This window comes from Homo sapiens, chromosome X (genome assembly GCF_000001405.40).
Source record: "Homo sapiens chromosome X, GRCh38.p14 Primary Assembly".
Classification (NCBI taxonomy): Eukaryota; Metazoa; Chordata; class Mammalia; order Primates; family Hominidae; genus Homo; species Homo sapiens.
The window spans coordinates 67,744,671-67,766,533 of record NC_000023.11 but is presented as its reverse complement, the minus strand read 5'-3'; the positions used below and the strand labels follow the sequence as shown (position 1 = coordinate 67,766,533).

Genomic DNA, 21,863 nt, shown 5'->3' with positions numbered 1-21,863 from the left:
TCTTATGTTCAAGGAATAAGTTGGAAGACTGGTGTCCCTGAGGCAGAGTGAGCAAGGATGAGTAGTAGGACACAAGGTCAGAGAGGTTAGGATTATAGGGCAAGGTGGGAGGCGGAGCATGGAGGGTCTTGTAAGCCACAATAAGAATTTCGGCTTTTATTCTGAATGAAGTGGGAAGCCACTGGAGGTTATGATCAGACCTTAGAGGAACTTGAATGCTTTGTTCAACAGTTAGACTTTATTCTAGAGAATAAGAGGAGCCTTTGAATGTTTGTTGTTGTGGTGGTGGTGGTTGTTGTTGCTATTGTTGTTGTTTTGAGATGAAGTCTCATTCTGTTGCCCAGGCTGGAGTGCAATGGCATGATCTTGGCTCATTGCAGCTGCTGCTTCCCAGGTTCAAGTGATTCTCCTGCCTCAGTCTCCCGAGTAGTTGGGACTACAGGCACCTACCACCACGACTGACTAATTTTTGTATTTTTAATAGAGGCAGAGTTTCACTATGTTGGCCAGGCTGGTGTTGAACTCCTCACCTCAGGTGATCCACCCACCTCGGTCTCCCAAAGTGCTGGGATTATAGGTGTGAGCCACCACACCCGCCCTGTGAATGGTTTTGAGGAGAGTGGCATGTGGATATCTGTGTTAGAAAGATCATTCTGGTAGCTAAAGAAGGATGAGTTGAAAAGGAACATGTGAAAGTAGGAAAAGCAATTAGGAGACCCTGTCTCCTATCCTTCCTGTTCCAGATCCCCGAAGGAGCTGGGAAACAATTGGTCCTTCTCTCAGTTGAAACCTCAAAGCCAGTAGAATGGGGTGGGACTAAAATAGTGGCAAGGAGACTTGTTAGGAGACAATTAAGATTATCCCAATGTGAGACAATGAGGAGCTGAGCAAGGAGGGACAGATTTGTGAGAGGGTAAAAGTGCAGGGACAATCACAAGATGCAAAGTCAGGGCTCAATAGCAGCAACTGTGAAAATGACAAAGGGGTTTTAATTAACAACAACATCCTTGGCTCAATAATGTGATATGACTGTGACAAAAGCTAGGAAAGTGACAGGATGCATTGATAAAAGCATGATACCCGGAACAATGAAAGCTATCAATCTGCTTTAGTCTATATTGGTTAAGACTTCCCTTTTACCATGAACCTTTCTCTTATTAAGCTTCCATTATCTGTCAGGCACTAGGCTTAGAGCTATACCTGGGGTATCTCACAGAATAATCACCACAATCCAGTGTGGTAGCTATTTTATCTCCATTTTATAGAAATTGAAGTTTCGGAGAGGTAGAGTGACTAGCCAAGATCACTGCATCTTCTTCTCCCATCCCGCCTGCCAGGGCCTTGCACAGATTAGAGGGAAATATGTGGGTAATAATTCAAAAAGACTCTAATAATGACATCGAGTACTGGGCTTATGTTTAAAACAAAATTGAGGCTATGTTTAAAATAGAAACATTTTCTGTTAAAAAAGCATTCTGAAACACTTAGGGACTAAATGATTTACTTTAAAATACCCTGAGAGGAAAATGCATGGAAAGGCAGCAGAGTATGGAAAATGAAATGAGATGGGCAAAAGGTTAAGTACATGGGAGTTTATTATTCTGTTCTCTCTACTTTTTTATGTGTCAGAAATTTTTTATAATAATAAGTTAACAAGTAAAATGTAAAAAATAGAAAGAGGAAAAAAGGTCCTTAACACTGATGTATGATGATTACTAAAGCATCGTGGAGAGGGAGAGAAGACAGTCATTTAATAGCCAAATGAAGAAAGTTCTAGAGGCAAACTTGTTGGCATCAGTGAGCCAGGAAGAGAGGCAGTAAGATCTTCCTGGTGCTCTAGTACTGCACTGTCCAATGAGGTAGCCACTACCTACATGTGGCTACTGAACACTTGAGATGTAGCTATTGCAAATTGAGATGTGCTGTAAGTATGAAATATATACTAGATTTCAAAGAGTTAGTATGAAAAACAAAATGTAAATTATCTCATTAACAATTTTTTAAATTGAATTGCATGTTGAAATGATAACATTTTGGCATAGTAGATGAAATAAATACATTATTAAAATTAATTTCACTTTTTAAAAAAAACTTTAAAAATGTATTCACTAGGAAATTTAAAATTACATATGAAGCTCACATATTTCTATTGGACAGCAACAAAATGTCGTGAAACACTTTATTTCAAAGGCTGACATTTACTGTTACTCATTTATTCGTTCATTCATTTAAATGCTCAAACTGATATTGAGTGCCTACTCAATTCTTGAAGTGTTGCAGTGAAAGACAAAGCATGTATTTTAGAGTCACAAGGACCTGCTACTTACCAGCTTTGTGATCTTGAACAATTATTTAACCTTCCTAAACCTTGGTTTTTCTCATCAATGAAATCTATGGCCCAAGGTTGCCAAAGGCCATAATTTATTGCCATATTTCCTCAAATCTAAGATGCCATTGATTGAAATTACACCATCATTTTATGTAACACTAAAAAAAATGCTGTCAATGAAATGACAGCACATTGCTAAGAAATCATTGGTCTCAAGATGCCTCCTGATTTCAGAGATGTCAAAATGTAAAACACTGACCACACTGTACTTGTCATTATTGATTTACAGATAAGTATTTGTTGAAAGAGTGAAAATTTATCTTCTCCATTTCACCGTGAGCTACTCAATAACAGAATCGGCATTTAAATGACCTTTTTCCCTGAAACAGGGCCTGGCACAGTGTAGGCACTTAATCCATTTTATATGAATTGATTTGGCTTCCCTTTCTTCCCATTTGCTCTGTGTCAGGTGCTGGGGAGGCAGTGATGAAGCAGATTAGGCCCCAGTTACCTAGGAGCTCTAAGTCCGATAACAACAGCAACAAAAACAACAATTATAAGAATCATTCACTGAGCTCTTACTATGTGAAAGTATTTTATCATTATATTAATATATATCTTTCTAAATTCCTTTTCCTTTTTACTTCATTTCTTTACTTTTTCGTTTGAGACAGCGTCTTGCTCTTTCACCCAGGCTGGAGTGCAGTAGTAAAATCATAGTTGATGCTTGGGCTCAAGTGATTCTCCTGCCTCAGCCTACCAAGTAGCTGGGACTACAGGCATGTGCTACCATGCCTGGCTATTTTTTTATTTTTTGTAGAGACAAGGTCTCGCTATGTTACCCAGGCTGGTCTTGGACTCCTGGCTTCAAGCGATCCTCTTGCCTCTATCTCCCAAAGTGCTGGGGTTACAGGTGTGAGCCACTGCATCTAGCTCATCCCTTTACTTTTAATTTATTCGAGTTTTTAGAATTAAGGTGGGTTTCTTGTAGACCCAACCCACACAGTTGGGTCTTGTTATTTTAATCCATTCTGACTACCTCTGTCCTTTAATTGCTGTACTTGGACCATTCACATTTAAAGTGATTATTGATATAGTTGAATTAATATATATCATGTTTGTAACAGTTTTCTGTTTGTTGTACTTGCTCTTTATTTTTTTTCTTCTCCTCATTTTCTGCCTTTTCTGGTTTTGAGCATTTTATATGATTCCATTTTTTCCTTTCTTAACACACCAATTGTACTTTTAAAAAATTTAGTGATTATGTTAGGGTTTGAAATATAACCTAAGTCCAACTTATCTAAGTCCACTTTCAAATGATTTTATACCACTTTTATGTGATGTGTAGTGCAGTACCTTAGAGTAGTCATAATTCCTTCCTCCCTTCCCTTATAATATTGCTATTATTCATTTCACTTATTCATATTCTGTAATTGCACAGTACATTGTTACTAGTATCACTTTAAATGGACAGTTTTAGATCAATTAAGAATGAGAAATTAAAATATTTTATTTTACCTTCATTTATTTATTCTACAATGCTCTTTCTTTCTTTATGTGCATCCTGGTTTTTCATCTATATCATTTTACTTTTCTTTGAAGAACTTTTTACATTTCTTGCAGAGCAAGTCTGCTAACAACAAATTCCTGCAGTTCTTGTTTTTCCGAGATAATCTTTATTTATTATTCACTTTTGAAGGATAATTTTACTGAATATGGAATTCTCTTGTCAAGCCTTTTGCCCTGGAAAGTAGGCCTTTGTTATGGAGAATGCTCTGGGTGCACTTAAAAATGATGGTTACTTTTTCCTTCCTCCTGCCAGAGCCATCAGGAGATTTTTCTTGACTCCTCACCATGATAAACTGATGGGATTCCTGAAGAGACACTCCACAAAATTGTGCTCCTCCCAAAAAAACCCTGTGGCTCCCACTTTCACACTAATTCACACTCAGCCTCCTGTAATTTGTCAAAATTATCATTTAAATGTTCTTATGATTTTATGGCTCCAGGGACTTCTGCTCTAGAAATCATGGCTATAAGTCTCATAATTCACCTGTTTCACCAGATTTTGGAATGACAGCTTGCTCTGCATTGCCAGTTCTCTGATGGGTCCAATAAAAGTTATTCGTATTGAGTTTGTTCCAGACTTTCCTTTTTGTTATGATAGGATTAATATGAGATATGAAACTGGAAGTCTGGGAAAGCATTTTAAACATGCTTTTTTTTTTTTGTCAACAGATCAGCCTTATGAGGTGGATATTATTGCCACAATAATTTTCCAGATGAAAAATGGAGGCCCAGAGATGTTAAGGAATTTGCCCAAGATCATGAAGTAAGTAGTGGGGCTTGTATTTGAATTCAGTTCTGTCTGACTCTGAAGGCTAGAACATGGACACACATAGCATAATATATGAGTCAGAAAGTATGAGAATTATAAAAGGGCAGAAAAAATGTTATGGCAGTATGTAGAATGACAACGCCAATTTAGGGTGGGGGAAGGAAATTTTAACAGAAGATGTAGAAGTTAGGTGGATCTTGAAGGATTTAAACATACGGAGGTCAGCATTTGACCCAGCCATCCCATTACTAGGTATATACCCAAAGGACTATAAATCATGCTGCTATAAAGACACATGCACATGTATGTTTATCGCGGCACTATTCACAATAGCAAAGACTTGGAACCAACCCAAATGTCCAACAATGATAGACTGGATTAAGAAAATGTGGCACATATACACCATGGAATACTATGCAGCCATTAAAAAAAGGATGAGTTCATGTCCTTTGTGGGGACACGGATGAAATTGGAAATCATCATTCTCAGTAAACTATTGCAAGAACAAAAAACCAAACACCACATATTCTCACTCATAGGTGGGAATTGAACAATGAGAACACATGGACACAGGAAGGGGAACATCACACTCTGGGGACTGTTGTGGGGTGGAGGGAGCGGGGAGGGATAGCTTTAGGAGATATACCTAATGCTAAATGATGAGTTAATGGGTGCAGCACACCAGCATGGCACATGTATACATATGCAACTAACCTGCACATTGTGCACATGTACCCTAAAACTTAAAGTATAATAATAATAAAATAAAATAAAAAACATATGGAGGTCAGGACAGAAGACTGAAACCTTGAAACCCTGGAGGCAGGGGATATAGATATTAAGGGATTAAGATTTCCTTATGTAAATTTCCCATGATTTCTAGCCCAGCCATTGCTTACCCTTCTTTACATGGAAACCTATGATGATAAACAAAAAAAGGTTATTCAGTGCCTGACAAGGAGTGAGAGCTTATTGGCCATTCTCTTTCGTTAAACTCACATTACAAGTCAGGTATCTGAGCTTTGATGTGTTTTATTCTCCTCAGGGGTTCTTTCTTTGGAAATTATTGGAGAAAGTGGCAGACTCAGTGCCAGAAAGACCTTGTCGTCTTAACAGTGGTCAGTGTCCTCTTCACATAGGGAGGCCAAGAAGGGGAAACAACTGCCAGTGAATCGCGTCTTAAGAGGACTAGGAACTGCAACAGCTGGCTGGCCACTTTTATTCATTCCCTTCAGAACAGACTTGCATGCCAGATGCTCTTCATTCTTCTTTCTAACCATGTCCCTGGCACTCCCCAACCTGTCGGGGAGCTGATGAGAATTCTGTTGCATATAACACTGGGAACAGAGTTGATGTTTTATCTTCTTCTGGGAGTACAAGAGCCCCTCCTCCTGTCCAAAAAAGAATCCATGTTGAGAGAACAGGCAGCTACAGGAGGTGCCGTAAAGCCCCATGTGGTGCATCCCTACTTGTGGCGGGGGGAACATCAGGGTGAGTGGAAGCCCACTGGCCCAGCAAACACTGAAGACCAATGATGGAGGCCCCAAATCACCACTCTCAGAAGGCCTCATTACTCTTTTTCCCTCTTAGGGATGGTTCTGCAGAAAAGGTCCCCTGCACACACTCTATTGTCTTGATGAGGAGGACACACTACCAAAAATGCACCAGACCTGGTGTATAAACAGAATTGGATGATTATATAGGTAATAAAGAAGGTCTCTACCTATATTTGAGAAGTGATGGGTCCCAAAAGGCCCCTGCATAGCTGCCTCTTTCAGTATCTCCACATAGCTCACCATTGGCTATCTCCTTCTTAGGACAGTGACTTTTAAACATTTTTTACTGTGACTCATAGTAAGGTATACATTTTATAGTGTAAACTAGTAAATGCTTTCACTGTGTGTGTATGTGTACATACACAAATGTATACGTACATATGTGTGTATACATACATATTGGCAATTTTATATATTGTTCAACCTAATATAAAAACAAAAGTTTCACTAAAAAATACCCTTAATATATGCAGTCACATTGATATTTTCTATTTTATTTTATTTCACTTTTAAAAAGTGCCAGTTCTTATCTACCAGATTGATTCCATTATTTACTAGTGAGTTGTGACCCACGGTTTGAAAAATGCTGGTTTAAGATGTAACTTCCTTAAAGCCCTTCTTGAAGTATAGAGATTTTTCCTGATATAGTTAATGTCACAAGTTAAGGCCAGAGGGTCCCTCAGAGAATATGCAGATGAAAGGAGAAGGGAAGGAGGGAGAAAAGAGAGGGAAAGGACTGATGGAAGAATAAGTCAGGTCAAGGTATCTGAAAAGCTACAAAGTAATAGAACTAGAAGAGTCTGAATCTGTCATGCTACATATGGAGAAACTGAGACAAAGAGAAAGAAGAGATTTGCCCCAAGTCATATTTCAAATGTGTCATGGAGCCAGAGGTAGAACCTGAGGCTCTTGACTTAAATTCTAGGGATCCTTCCTGCCAAGAGAAATTGTGGCAACACAGCGCTTACTCCCAGAGGCATAGTAAGCCCCACAGGCCAGAGCTGGCACTAAGTACCAGCATTTGGGGCCTAGCTCATGGGATGATTGGCCAGACTTTAATCTGCCTCCTGTTTTTGACATGCCTAGTCATAAGTAATCTGTTCTGCTGACAGCTTCAGTGTCCAGTTACATGCTCATCTAAGCTAAGACAAGGGCAGGGAAGAGGAATGCAACCCACATGCATAGGTGTCCCTCAAACCAACTCTCTGGCTTGAGCAAGAAAGAGGTGGCTTATGGACTAATGGGAGCAGCTATAGACAACAAGGCATCTGAGTTTCTCTTGTCAGACCCTACCTGGATTCCAACCTCTGCCTCCTTCCTCCAAGAATAGCTAGGGCCCTTTTGACCTAATCAGTTAACCCAACCTGTCTTGGACTGGGCCTGTAGTACCAGCCCCAAACAAGTCCTACTTGGCTTCCTTTTGCTACTGTTATGGTACTGTCCCGGGGCCCCAAATCTGAGTTTCTGCCTGGGTTGCCTATCTTGTGCCTTCAGTCCTCTAAAGCCAGCCCCCCACCCACACCCCAGGTCAGTGATTATGAGCCTAACTAGCAGCAGGTTTATAATGCCTGGATCTAGGGAATCTGACTTCATCTCTGAGTAGCTGGACTCCGGGGCTACTGAGAGGGCTTCTCATCCAGCTACAAAAGGTTGAAGGAGTGAGGGAGGCAGATAAACATCTGCTGAGGGCTTAGTACTTGTACCTTCTCAGTAAAGCCAACTAAGACTCTTTTGATGGGCCGTTTTTAGGACAAGACCCCAAACCAAAAGTCTTTGTTTAACTGCTCTATAATTATATCATGAAAACTTATTCCTGCTTAAGTCCCTGAAATACCAAAACTTGCGGATAACAACCATGGATAACAACCATGAACATTCTGGAAAAAATATTTTTTTCCAGCCATAGCAGAAGACTTGAGGCCCTCTTCCTTGTATGAGAACCTAGGTAGCTTTCCCTCAGAGAAAGCCAGGCTAACACTGATGACTTTCTCCACCTGCATCCAGCCACCTGGTCGTGGTACTCAAGACCACATTGTAGGGTGGCACTACTTATGCCTTACACAACAAAAGCTGAGAAGGCAAGCAAAGACTAAAAGGCAGACTTGTCCTACTTGCCAAATGGCAGCTCATAATTCTGTACCCACCCAGAAGGGACATCTTTGTGTACTTGGTCTGCCCAAAGAAGGTATCTTTTTCTAATTCACATTGTACAGAGTAGGGGAGCATTGATGAGATTCTAAGAGCTCGTCTTGAAAGAAATGTTCTAGAAGCTTCTCTGGGCTAGGCCACAGTCATAGCTCCAAAAGAAGGGCCTCTGAGAACTGGGTCTTCCCTGCCTAATTACTTTAACCATCTGGTTTCCTCTATCTCAGGGCCTCAAGTCTTACTTCTGTGTTAATCTTTCCTCAATCCAGCTCTTCACCCCTAACTTCATTCTCAAACTCTAGATCGGTATTAGCCAACTATAACTGCTATCTCCACCTGGAGAGCCCACAGGCACTTCACACTCAAGGTACATTCCAAATCTCATCCCCTGCCAATATTCCTCATCTGTGTTGAACATTTTCTACTTGCCCCACCAGAAGCACTCTCTTCTCTACACTGCTCTGTTCCCTGCAACTCTGACCTATACACCTCTATTTCCTTCCTTGATTCTCCTTCCTTCCCATGTTCTCATTCCTTCTAAATAAGGTTAGAATCCATATTTTCTCTCTGTCTTAGCTCCCATATGCTCTGGATATGGAATAAATAGCTAGTGTGTGTGAATGTCTCCTCTGCTAGAAAGTGATCCCTTTGAGGGTGGAGACCATGTCATGTTCATCTTTATGGTCTCAGTGCCCCTCAGAGAGCTGACACAGAAAATACTAAAAAAATACTGAATATAAGCTGATTTGTTCTATTTTCTTCCTTTCTTTCTTTCTTTCTTTCTTTCTTTCTTTCTTTCTTTCTTTCTTTCTTTCTTTCTTCTTTTTCTCTCTCTCTCTCTCTGTGTGTGTATGCATGCACACACACAATAAAGGTGGGGCAGTAGGAAGTCCATGTACTGGAGATCACAACAAATGGCAAAAAGTTTGAGACCAAAGTTCCTGCATGAAAGAGAGCACTAAAGAAGGTAGGAAGAGGTAGAAAGGACTTGAGGTCTAGGAAGCGCCTATTGTATGCCAGGCTTATGAGGCTCAGAGAGGTAGGCAAAATAATAATACCTAATATTTATTAAACATTTTTCTATGGACCTGGAATATTCTAAGTGCTAGAAATGGATGAAGCTATTTAATCCTCACAAGGCATCAATGAGTTACGTACTATTATTATCTTCATTTTATATACAAAGAAACTGAGGCACAGAGGGTAGCCCAAGTTACCACAGCTAGGAAGTGTCAGAGCCAAAGTTCAAATTCATGAATTCTAGCTCTCTATAGCAGGAAGGACTTTTGTCTGAAGATCTAAATGATTAGAATTAAGCCCTAGCTCTGCCCTTAAGTCACTCTGTAGCCTTTCCCCTCCTCAAACCAGGTTCCATATTTGCAATATAGTATGTAATAAAATGTAAACCAGGAGTCTCCATTAGCGGACTTTAAAGTTCTTCCAGTGCATTCATTCAGTCAGTCCCCAAATGGTTACATCCTCAACGCCAGGCCCTATGTGAGCTAAACACCATCTTTTCCTCATAGAGCTCCTGTTTTAAGGGAGGAAGGAAGGAAGATCACACTAATCTTCCCTGAGTCTGGGGATGTGTGGCCTGTGTGTGCATGTGTGCATGTGTGCATATGTGTGTGTAAGTCCAGAAGGTAATGGGATGTTTAGCCTGGCGCAGTCAGGCTGCTCTCAGAATTGTAGAGGAGGAGAAAGACCAGGGAGTGGCCTATCTTGTGCTCTCTGTGTCCCCTAGATGCTTCCCATGATCTTACTCCAAAGATTTCCACTGGAAACCACACTTTCAGCTTATATTTGCTAGCCTTAGTGGATAAATAGCTTCTTTGTAATGAATAATAACTTGGCATCTGCAGTCCATAAGTGTTTCTGAATCAAGGCTCCTGAAGGGATCCAGGGTAGGGGACACACCCTGATGACACAGAAGGGACACAGCTCGGAATTTTGACAGGAAGTAGCATGAAAGAGTTTGGGGAGACAACTGGGAGCAAGAGGGAAGAGGTTAGCAAGGAGGGAAGGAGGAAACGAAGGGGTGGACAAGAGGAGTGAGGGAGAGAGGGAAGTCTTCCTAGCTGGTCTGTGGAAACTGAGTTATCTATACATACTTCTCTACAGACTTTCGGTTTTGGAGCCCCACAGGCTTCAGGTGACTTATCTAAGAATACAACATAATTTAAAGGACCAAGGTGAGTGTCAACTCTAGCATTATCACTTCTGTGTGGTGGCTTCTAAAGGGTGTAGAGAGCCCAGGAGGCTCAGACAAGCACTGAATACAGCCTTCACCTAGGAAGTTTTATTTTTCCTCCATGCTCTGAGCTTTCAGCAGCCATTTTTGTACTATGTGCCATTACCATCAGGTCCAAGCTGTCTCTCAACCAGTTTTTACTATGAGGCCTGCTAATAAGTCGCAGGCTGTTCCCTTCGCCTTCCCAGAGGCACAAAGCACCAGTGGTGGAATTTCATGCATTGGGTCATGTGATAGGGAAATATATTCTAAGATCTGGAATGATAGTCACGTAATAAAGATGCCACCATTCCCCCTTCCTGTGCCTGTGCACAAATCACTAATTGATCATACCACTTTCTTCTACAGCACTAAGATACTGCCTGGCAGTATCCTCTGGAAATGAGTAAGCATTAGAATAACAAAAATTATATTTATTTGCAACTCTGCTTAGGCTTATCAGAGCATGCTAAGTAGTCAACTACTTGCTTCATACGTGCAAAAGCCAATGGTTGGAAGAATATTTCAGTCCTTAAGGGCTCATTCAGTGAATGCTCTTCTATCTATCCTGAGCACTACCCTAGAAAGACCCAAAAACGATAGCCATCAACAAGGTTCTTAGATCTCACCTAATGCAACTAAGGCACTTAGAGTGCTTGCTCTGATAAGTTTAGTGTTTGAGCTTCATACAGGCTAGAGCAAAAAAGGGAAATATGGTGGGCTACATAATTTCTATGTTTGAGAAAAGAAAACAAGTTATTTATGCTAAACAAAGATTTTTTGAATTATATGAAAAGAGAACATGAATTATTTCCTTTTGACTTTGCAACAACCATGTTAGATAAGATTTATTTTGAAGATGGTGAAACTAAATATCAGAGTGATAAATAATCCTGCCCAAGATCAATATCTAGGATATGATAGAGTCAAGATTTGACCAAGATTGGATCAATTTTAATCTAAAGAACCTTTTCAACCTATGTTGCCTCCAAAAGTAACACAGAATGACATAATGGAATTTCAATCAACTTATTCCACAAATATATATTGAGTTCTTGTTATGTTCTAGGAGGAACTGCTCTAGGCACTGTGTGAAACAAGGCAGAGAGGATTCTTGCACTTATGGAGCTTAAGCTGTAGGTCTGGAGGCCTAGGAGTCAAAGAGGACACAGGCAGTACTCAAATTATTACTCAAATTACTCAAAATATACTATTGTAAACTATGAAGGTGGTAGTAAGGTGAAACACAGGGAGTCAAGAAAGCATATCGCAGAGGGGATTTGATAAACTCCTGGAGATTTTAGTTGAAATCTATAGGTGAAGAGAGGTAGAGAGAGTAATCAGACATTCTGGGTTGATGGAAAAGCATGTGCAAAAACTCTAACAAAGGAGGACCTGTTAAAAGGTGAGTATGTCAGGAACACAGAGCATGAGAAGAATGATTGGTGAAGAAGGCTCTGTAGGCCTCAATGAGGGGTTTGGATTTTTATCCTATGAGCAAAAGAAGCCATTGGAGAATTTTAAGCAAAGAAATGAAATTATCCAATGTGTATTTAAAAAAAATTTTTCCACTATGATATATGACACATATGTAGCAATGTGCATAAGACTTGTTTACACAATGCAATAAATATTTATACAATGATATCTGTGTAGCCATCTCCCAAGTCAATAAATTTGCAATAATACATTGCTAAGACCACAGAAACGCTTATGTGACTAGATCATAACCTTCTTCCTTCCCTCAGAGGTAATCACTGTCCTGACATTTGTAGGGCCCATGGGTTTTTTTTTTTTATTTTTATGAGATAAACTTTCTATTTTATGGTAATTACAGATTTATATGCAGTTGTAAGAAATGATACAGAGAGATCCCTGTACTCTTTACCAAGTTTTCCTCAGTAATAATATCTAGCAAACTTATTGTACAATATTACAACCAGGATATTGACATTAATACAGTCAAGATAGAGAACACCACAATAGTCCCTCTGATTGTCCTTTTACAGCCATACTTGCCTTTTGCTTCCTTTTCCCCCACCCCACTCATTCCTGAACCCTAGAAACTACTAATCTGTTCTCCATATTTTCCATTTCTCTAATTTTTTCATTTCCAGAATGTTATATAAACGATCACATATACACAGTATGTGACCTTTTTGGAATGGCTTTTTTCACTCAGCATAATTCCCTGGAGATTCTCCCAAATAGTTGCATTTATCACTAATTCATTCCTTTTTATTGCTAAGTAGTATTCCATGGTATAGATTTAGCACAGTTTGCTTAACTATTCATCTGTTGAAGCACATTGGATTGTTTCCAGCTTTGGAATATTAAGAATAAAGATATTGTAAACATTAGTGTATAGATTTTTGTGTGACCATAAATTTTAATTTCTTTGGGATAAATGCCCAAGAGTGCAATTGCTGGATTGTACATGTTTAAATTTCTAAGATACTGATAAATTATTTTCCAAGGTAGTTGTACCATTTCAAATTGTCACTAGAAATGTACATCATGCAGTTTGTTCATGTTCTCACCGGCATTTGGTGTTGCCATTGTCTTTAGTTTTAGCCATTCTGATAGGTGTGTAGTGATGTTTCTTAGTGATGTTGTTTTAATTTGCATTTCACTAATGTACAATTATGTTGAACCCCTTTTTATATGCTTGTCAATTGTATATTCTCTTCAGCAAAATGTCTTCTCTTTCTTTTGCCCATTTGTTAACTAGATCGTTTAGAGTTTTGAGAATTCTTATAGATAATAGTTTTTTGGTTGGGTCATTTGGGTGGATTGCATGGTTCAGTGTTTCTATATACTGTTTTGTTGATTTTCTGTTGAGTGGTTCTATAAATCTCTGAGAGTAGAATGTTGAAGTTCTCAACTACAGTTTTGGATTTGTCTATTTCTCTTTTCAACTCTACCATTTTTTTTCATTGTTATCTGAGTATCAGTTTTTGGTGCATACACATTTAGAATTATATGTCCTTCCAGTGGACTGATCTTTATATTATTATGTAATATCCCTTTTCATCCATCGTATTTTTTGCCCTAATGTAGGCTTTATCTTATATCAATATAGATATTCCTGCTTTTTAAATTAATATTTTCATGGTATCTCTTTTTCCATCTTTTTATTTTTAACATAGCAACGCCATTGTATTTGAAGTAGGTTTCTTGTAGACAGCATATCATTGAATAAATTATTTTTCCAGTTTTGAAAGCTCTTTTACTTATATTTAGCCCATTTATATTTAAGGTAAATGTCATGTTAGTCTGTACTATTTTTTTTCCTGTTTAATTTATCTGTTTCTTGTTCCTTTGATATCTTTTTTATATTCTTCTAGGTTATCTGATCATTTTTAAGGATTCCATCTTAATTTATTTTTAGTGTTTTTGAGTATATTGCTTTGCACCATTTTCTTAGCAATTGCTCCAGATATTGCAATATACATACATAACTCACCATAGTTTGCTGGTATCAATGTTTTACTATTTTGAGTGAGTTGTAGAAACCTCATTTTCTTTAGGTCTCTTTATCCTTCCTACTTAAAAATGTAGTTTGTTATGTATTTCTTCTGTATTCACGGGGTATGACATTAGACAGTTTTATAATTTTTACATCAATCTCCAAATATTGATTTAAGAAACTCAAGAGAAGTAAGATATTCTACTATATTTACCCCTATTTTTACTCATGGCAATGTTCTTTCTTTTCAAAAGTTCCAAGCTTTCTTCTGTTATCATTTATTTTGATTTAAAAACTTCTTTTAGTCATTTGTTTAGGGTAAGTATGCTGACAATAAATTCTTTTAATTGTAGTTAATTTGAGGATGTCTTCATTTTTCCCATCATTCATGAAGTTTATTTTAGCTGGATATAGAATACTGGGTTGACAGGTTTTTCTTTTTTTTGTTTTATTATTCTCTAAGTTTTAGGGTACTTGTGCACAACGTGCATGGGTATATACCCAAAGGATTATAAATCATGCTGCTATAAAGACACATGCACACATATGTTTATTGCGGCACTATTCACAGTAGCAAAGACTTGGAACCAACACAAATGTCCATCAATGATAGACTGGATTAAGAAAATGTGACAGTTTTTTCTTTTAGTGGTTGAAAAATGTGTCAACACCTTCTGTTTTCTATTTCTTGAACTCTAATGATCCAAACAGTAGATCTTTCATTATTCTCTAATAGGTATCCCATGCTCTGTTCATTTTTTTCCGTCTATTTTCTCTGTTATTCAGATTGTGTGAATTCTATTGTTATGGCCTCAATTTTTTTATTCTATCCTCTGTCATCTCCACTTTACTATTTAGCTCAACTAGTGAGAATTTTTTTCTGGCATTAGATTGCCAGTTAGTTTTTTTTTTTATAACTTCTTTTTCTTTGCTGAGAGTTTCTAATTCTTTTCATTTGATTCAAGAAAATTTGTAATTGCTTGTTGAATCATTTTCTGATAGCTGCTTTAAAAGCCTTGTTAGAAATTTTCAACGTCTAATTGTTGGTGTCATTTGATTGTTTTTCTCATTGAAGTTGTGATTTTCATGGTTGATATAGTAGTTAATGTTTTTATTGGACTCTGGATTTGTTGGATATTGTGTTATGATATTCTGAGTGAGTCTCATTTAAATATTTTAATTTGTTTTATATTTTTTTAAAGAAGACACTCTCCCCTATTGAGATGTCATGCAAGGATCAGGTGGGTATGTTTGTTCAAATTGTCACTGGGCCCTGCTGATGCCACCTCTGTCAAAGCGGTGCACTAACTTGTACTGCTTCACTGCATATGGAAAAGGTAGAAATTTAGCCACTCCCTCCACTCCTCACTCCTCTGACGCCTTCCCAGTGAAAGCAGGGTACCCTCTTGTTGCCTCCAAGTGGACGTGTAAAATCAACTCCTCACTGGTTCCACTGCCTCCCCACCCCCAAAGAGAGCTGATTCAAATTGCTCTGTTGCTGTGAGATGGGGGTGAAAGCTCAGCTTCCACTAGACCCTGCTGACATAGGAGGAGGTGAGAGGAGAGGGAATAAGTGCCAACTAGCTCTGCTTTGCATTGCCTCATACAGATTTATTGCTGTCAGGTGATTGTGGAGGTTCAGCCCCAGTCCCATGGGGGCTATATCATCTTGGCAGAACCAGAAATATGTCTTCTTTAAATGTTTACCAGTTTATTATAACAATATTATAAATGACACAGACAAAGGGATGCATATGGTGAGGTATGAGGGAAGGGGTGTGGAGCTGCATGCCCTCCCTGGGTGCGTCACCCTTTAGAAATATCCATGTCTGCAGCTATCTGGAAGTTCTAAAAGTATGTCTTTTTAAATATAGTTTTATACCTGCATATACATCTACAAAATTATAGCTAGATTTTTCCTTTTTACAAACCTTATATTAACGGAATCATATAGTATATGTTATTTTATTTCTTTTGCTCAACATTATGCTTGTAAGATCAATACATGTTGTTGCTTGCATGTAACTATAGTTCCTTTGTTTCCATTGCCATATAATATTCCATTGTACAAATACACTACAATCTACATATTCATTCTACTCTACATAAGCATTTAAGTTGCTTCAAAATTGGTGCTATTATAAACAGTGCTATCATGAGCATTCTGATATATGTATTATGATGCATAAGTATGTTAGTTTTCAAGTCATAACAGTTGTTGTAGAATATCTAGATCATAGAGTACAAATATGTTTAACTTTAGTAGATAATGTCAGATATTTTTACTAAGTGGCTTTCCAATTTACACTGCCATCAACAATATATGAGAGCTCCCATTATTCTACATCTTCATTACCACTTGCTATTGCCAGTCTTCCAAATGTTTTCCAATCTGATGGGTGTGTCTGATGTGCATTTTTAAAAAGATCTCTCTAACTACAATAAGAAACATGTCTTGTAAGGGGAAAGAGTACAACATACTTTCAATGGCAATTTTATGGAGGATGTAGACATACTTTTTATTTTATTTCAGATTGCTATTACAGCAAAGGGTATTCTGGGGAAATAGAACTAAGAAAATACATTTCCACCAGTGAAGGGAGAAGGAAGGAAGTTATGTCTAAGAATGGCCAGGAATTTGTTGATCTAACCCTAGGTTTCCCAGATTATGAGCTGAGGTTTCCCGGGGCACAACTGTGAACTCACAGGGCCTTCGTGGGATATTTTACATTTCTGAGGGGAACACAATGACACTAGACATCTGTCAGACATTCCACAAGCTACTAGCTTGTGTCAGTTCACAATTTCAACATTAGATTGTACTACATTCCTTTTGATGGCTGCTGTGACAAAAATCAAGTGCTGTGTGAAAATCCACATGAAGCAGGAAATGCAGGTGGTGGTGTCCAATCTGATTTCAAGATCTGAGAAGCTGTGCACTGCCTGAAAGGTATCTATTTAAGGTAAAATAAAAATATTTTTCTCCATTAATATGCATATTAATATTTTTCTTTTAATTTATGTGTATTATGATTTTAAGTGGCTATTAAGCTATTAAGGGTATAAATACTTATTAAGTTTTGTGAACTTAACTTCTGAATAAATGAAACTGTTAGATATTTATTTTGGCCTAGCGGCACTGTGAATTAATGAGATGCTAAGGACATTGGCAACCAAGAAAGCTTAAGAACTTCTGATATAACCCGATAAACCAAGAGAAATGGATGAGGAAGGTGACCTAAATGTTTCCGCTTTCACCCATCTCCCTGTTCTGGAATAGAGGTCATAAGACTGCCCAGAGCTTTCTTCCAGTTTTTCTTTCCTTGTCTCTAACCCTTCACTGACTGAGAGATGGACAGTTGTTAGGGGGAAGTGTTGGGGAAGCATTTTTTAACTTTACCTGTCTGCAGAAGAAAAACTGTCTTTGACTGGAACCCCAAGTATCTATCGTAGTTTCTAATTTGGGTGTAGGATTTTTTTATAGGCCATAATAAAATAGCTTTATCTACTCCATTTTAGTGATAGCTCCCCATTTGAAGGAGAGAGATGTTATTTACCTGTTCTTGTTACCAATGGACAAAATAAACTCATTAATTAATATTTTGAGCTCACTTGATAAGAAAAAGGTCCACAGAAAAATAGATTACATTTATAAGAGGAATTACCATTGACCTTGGTTTTCACTGGCACAAGAAACTCTAATGCTCTAAATGCTATACTTAACATAGGGAGGTAAGTAGGTAGATAGGTAGGTAGATAAGTAGACAGATATAGGTAGATAAGTAGAGGTAGATATAGGTAGATAAGTAGAGAGATATAGGTAGATAAGTAGGTAGTAAGTAGAGGTAGAGATAAGTTCTATATATAGAGAGAGTCAAAACTATCCACTAAGGAAAAATTATTAAACTCTCAAATGTTTTCATCAAGAAGGGTGGGGAAGAAAACTCAGAGGCTAGATAATAATAGGATGTTAGAGTGGTAGGGTATCTAGAGACCCGCTGGCCACATTACAGATGTAGACATTAGAGAGCTGACCAGATTCTAACAGAGGGAGAAAGGTTGAAAAAGAGTGTGGGAATAGTAGAAGGGCCTGAGCCCTTGTTTCCTAAGGGAGGGCAAGCAAGTAATAAAAGTTTAAGAATTATCTTCTCTTTGTCACATGGTGTTCCTTTCATACTGCTACCACTAAGATCTCTTCATTAAAGACTTACCATCCAAAATGTAAACATATTATCTGTTTTTAAAAAGTAAAAAAGTTCCACTTTGAGAAAATCCATTTGAAGGAGTGGTTGCTATGTTTCTGGGGGATTCTGAGACAAAGAGAGGTAAATGACTTCTTAAGGACTCACAGTCAGGCCTAGAACCCTTGGCTCCTGACTGAAAAGCTAAAGCTCTATCCAGCCAATCCTAGAGTTCTTTCTCTACCTCCCAGCAGTATGGGTCAGGAAAACTGTAATCTGAACTGATTTTCTAAATTTCTCTAGAATGGAGAACTCCTTCAGCTTGGGCGGCTTGGCTCCCACATCTGGTTTCAGGCCCAGTGCTGAGTATTCAGTGCTGAGAAACTTCCCAGGCCTGTCTGGGGCTCTTGACTTCCCTACCCAAACACTCAAGGGAAGGTACTGGTGAATCCTTTGGGGTGGCTGGGATTAGTAGCCCATGTGGGGAACCTGTTGGAATGCTTGTTCCTAGCTGGCCCTGGATGGAGATAAGGAAGGAAAGGAGGAAGAAGAGAGGAGGGAGACAATGAGGCAGAAAAGCAGGGGGTTGGTTCCTCCAACTGTCCCTCCCAGAAGGCACTGGCCAGGACCACTGGGCCCAGTACTCATGGCCTCAGGGAGGCAGAGATCTGAAGATCGATTACTGGCTGTATTTTCTTTCTCCCCTACCCCTCCTTTTTTCCCCTCCTTTTGCTCTTTGGGTTATGGTGACCTGAAACATCTCTCACAGTGAGTTCTGATGCAGCAATGTCTGAGAATAGCTCACAGAGCAGAAACAGTCTTTGCCGCCCTCTGAAAAGACAGGCAGGGGAAAAATTGTGGTGTATTCTGTTCACACTGCCTCTAAATGATTTGGGGGGGCTGAGCGCTGTGGGGGGGAAGTCATGACCTTATGTTCCTTGATGTTATTTGATGTTGGTTTTGGCTGCATTCAGAGAGTTAAAACGCACATAAAAAATGAAGCTAATAAAACTGCAGGGCTAGAGAATGGGCCAGGCACACTCTGTGGGTTCCCAGAGCAGCTGTGGCTGAGCTCTTGGGCCTGGATGGTTCACTATCCTTCCAAGGTACAAGTTTGTGGCAGATCACTGCCAAATGGCAGAAATTAGCTAACTTAGGTGGCCTATCTGATTTGAAACCTTGATTAGCTTTGTACAGAAAAAGACAATGAAGGGCACAGAGGTGGACATTAAGGCTCCACTTGTGAGATTCATGGATGCAAAACTGAGGTTGCTTTCCTTCCAGGCAGCATTTACTCCATCCAGACTAGAAAGATCAGGGTTCCTCTGCCAGTCTGCCCACCAAGGGACTCTGTGATAAGAATAATGGTGAGAGCTAAACCTACCAGGGGGTAATGGCATCAGGATAGGAATAAGGAAAAGAGGGTCAGGTCCCTGACATCTGGTCCAGGCCATGGAAGGCACCTTATTTAGGCAAATTCTGGGAGGCTCTGAGGACCTGTAAGGTGTTAATGATGAACAGAGTCATCAGTATCTGCCTGCTGATTATCTGGAGGTGAGGAGTGACAACTGAAAGAATGCCCAGTGTGAGTGCGAGTGGAGGTCACCTGTAAATGGCTTCTTGTCTCCACTATGTATGATGGTCCACATGTATGTAAAACCAGAAGGGGATCCTTTGCCACATAAACATGATTGAGGTGAAGGCAGAAGGCCAGGCTTTCACAGAGGGATGCCTAGTGGCAAGGGCATTGGATTTGGAGTTGGAAAACCATAGTCTTGACTTTGCTGCTTTTTCATTATGTAACCTTGCATAAGTTTATGACCTTCCCCCTAGCCTTAGTTTTCTCATTTGTAAAGTGATCATACAACCTTTGTTCTGATTAAATGAGAAAACGAATGCAATGTGTTTGACAATGTGTCCAGCATATACTTAGCACTCAACAAATTCTGGTGCCTACCACCCCCACCGCCCCCACACACATTTACTAAAGGCTGTATAAGGCTGAAAGGACAAGTGGAGAGATTTGGGGCTATGTATTCTCTGAAACATAGCCATAAATATTCACACCGAGAATGGAAATCTGGAGGTGGGCAGAGCCCCAAAGAGGATAGTTCTCATAGCTATTCTGGTGAAAGTAGAGGCAGGGAAGAGGAAAGGAGGGAGAAAGGGAGAGTGGAGGGACTTAAACCACGTGTCAGAAAATCCAGATGACTTTGAGAGAAACAGCTTCCACTAACTGAGGTCAAGGACACTTTCTCTTTCAGTGTAGTAATGAAGATGAGGAGCTGGTGAGAGGTGACTTTCCAGCTGCACTGGGCATTCTTGTAGCTGCCATTTCCTCTCAATCCTCTGAGAATAACCTTAATTCTGGCAATTTGTCCCTACCCTGATATCCATCCTATCTTCAATCTTGCAGGTGTCACCAGACTCCTGCTCCACTCCTGCCCAAGGCCCAGCCCATCCAAGAGCAAAAGGCAAGTGGTGTTACAACCTTGGGATTTCCTGTATCTGCCCTCTTGCGGATAGCAGGACAGAGTCACAGCTGCATTAAATTCGCTTAAGACTTATTGAGACACTTCAACACTTCAACAACGACCTGTGAGATTAAGATTATTATTTTAAATTTACAGAAGGGGAAACTAAGAATTATAGACATGAAGTGACTCACCTATGACCACCTGGTGATAGAACCAGGACTAGAGCTCAGGTATGAAGATTTCTGGGGGAGTCCCTGAAAAAAAGGCTCCATATGGAATTACAATGTGGAAAAGGCCAAGGCCTCACCAACCCTTTTCTCTTCAACACCTGGATCCCTAAGTCCTTATTCGTAACCTCCTCTTTGGACAAGGTTTTGGTAGACAAAGCCAGAGCCTCTTGCACTGAGAAAGACAAATTCTCCTCTTGCAGTGAACCACAGGTAAATGCTCCAATAGAGAGTCCAAGCCAAACCTCCGGGTGTTATTCATGACCCAGGCAAGTCTGCTTTCTCATTCCCCCTATCTCTAGACCGTTTTCCATTTGGGCTTCCTTTTCTTCTTTTATCCTCAAAGAAACATGTTTCCTTCTAGTAGGTTTGGCTGCCACCACTAGGGTCCTGGCTACAACTGGCCCTCAGGTAACTCTCTCACCTCTGAGTTGGATAGTATCCTCTCTCGTCCCCATACACAAGTGTTTCTCTTCCCAGACACCTTCCTTACACAATTTCCCATTTCTTTCTCATCTCACCCTTGCTTTAATCAACATAGTTCTTTCCCCTGAGATTACTCTTCAGCCTTTCTTGTTGAAGCACTGCCCAGTGGTTCTCTTGGGATTTCCATTTCTCTCCCCTCAGCTCTCTTGGTACCAAATTCTGTAAGCTTCTCTGGTTTTTGGTTTCTCTTCCTTCTTTTCCTTCCAGGCAACATTTACTCAATCTAGGCTTGGATGATCAGGTACTTCTGCCAGCCTGCCCACTAGGGAACTCTGGGCTAGGAATATGTCTCAATGGCACCATTATATTTGGAAGGACGCTTCTGTATTTACACTGAACACACTAAAATACTAAACTTGAAGCCAAAATCCCCTCTCTGGCTCCAGTTCATATGTTATATAAAGATGATAGTCTATAAACCATCA

The 21,863-nt window shown here is 39.5% G+C and overlaps 1 long non-coding RNA gene across 1 annotated transcript in view; it reads left to right on the top strand.

Annotated features, from left to right (window-relative positions):
- The window catches only part of NXTAR (negative expression of androgen receptor regulating lncRNA), a 39,942-nt gene extending 18,357 nt beyond the window's left edge, over positions 1–21,585 (top strand). Inside the window, exons 2-5 of the long non-coding RNA XR_938423.3 lie at positions 4,568–4,661; positions 15,270–15,308; positions 16,928–17,030; positions 20,665–21,585. This is a non-coding gene — a long non-coding RNA (negative expression of androgen receptor regulating lncRNA). The remainder of the gene's footprint in view (positions 1–4,567; positions 4,662–15,269; positions 15,309–16,927; positions 17,031–20,664) is intronic.
- Positions 21,586–21,863: the final 278 nt, after the last annotated feature.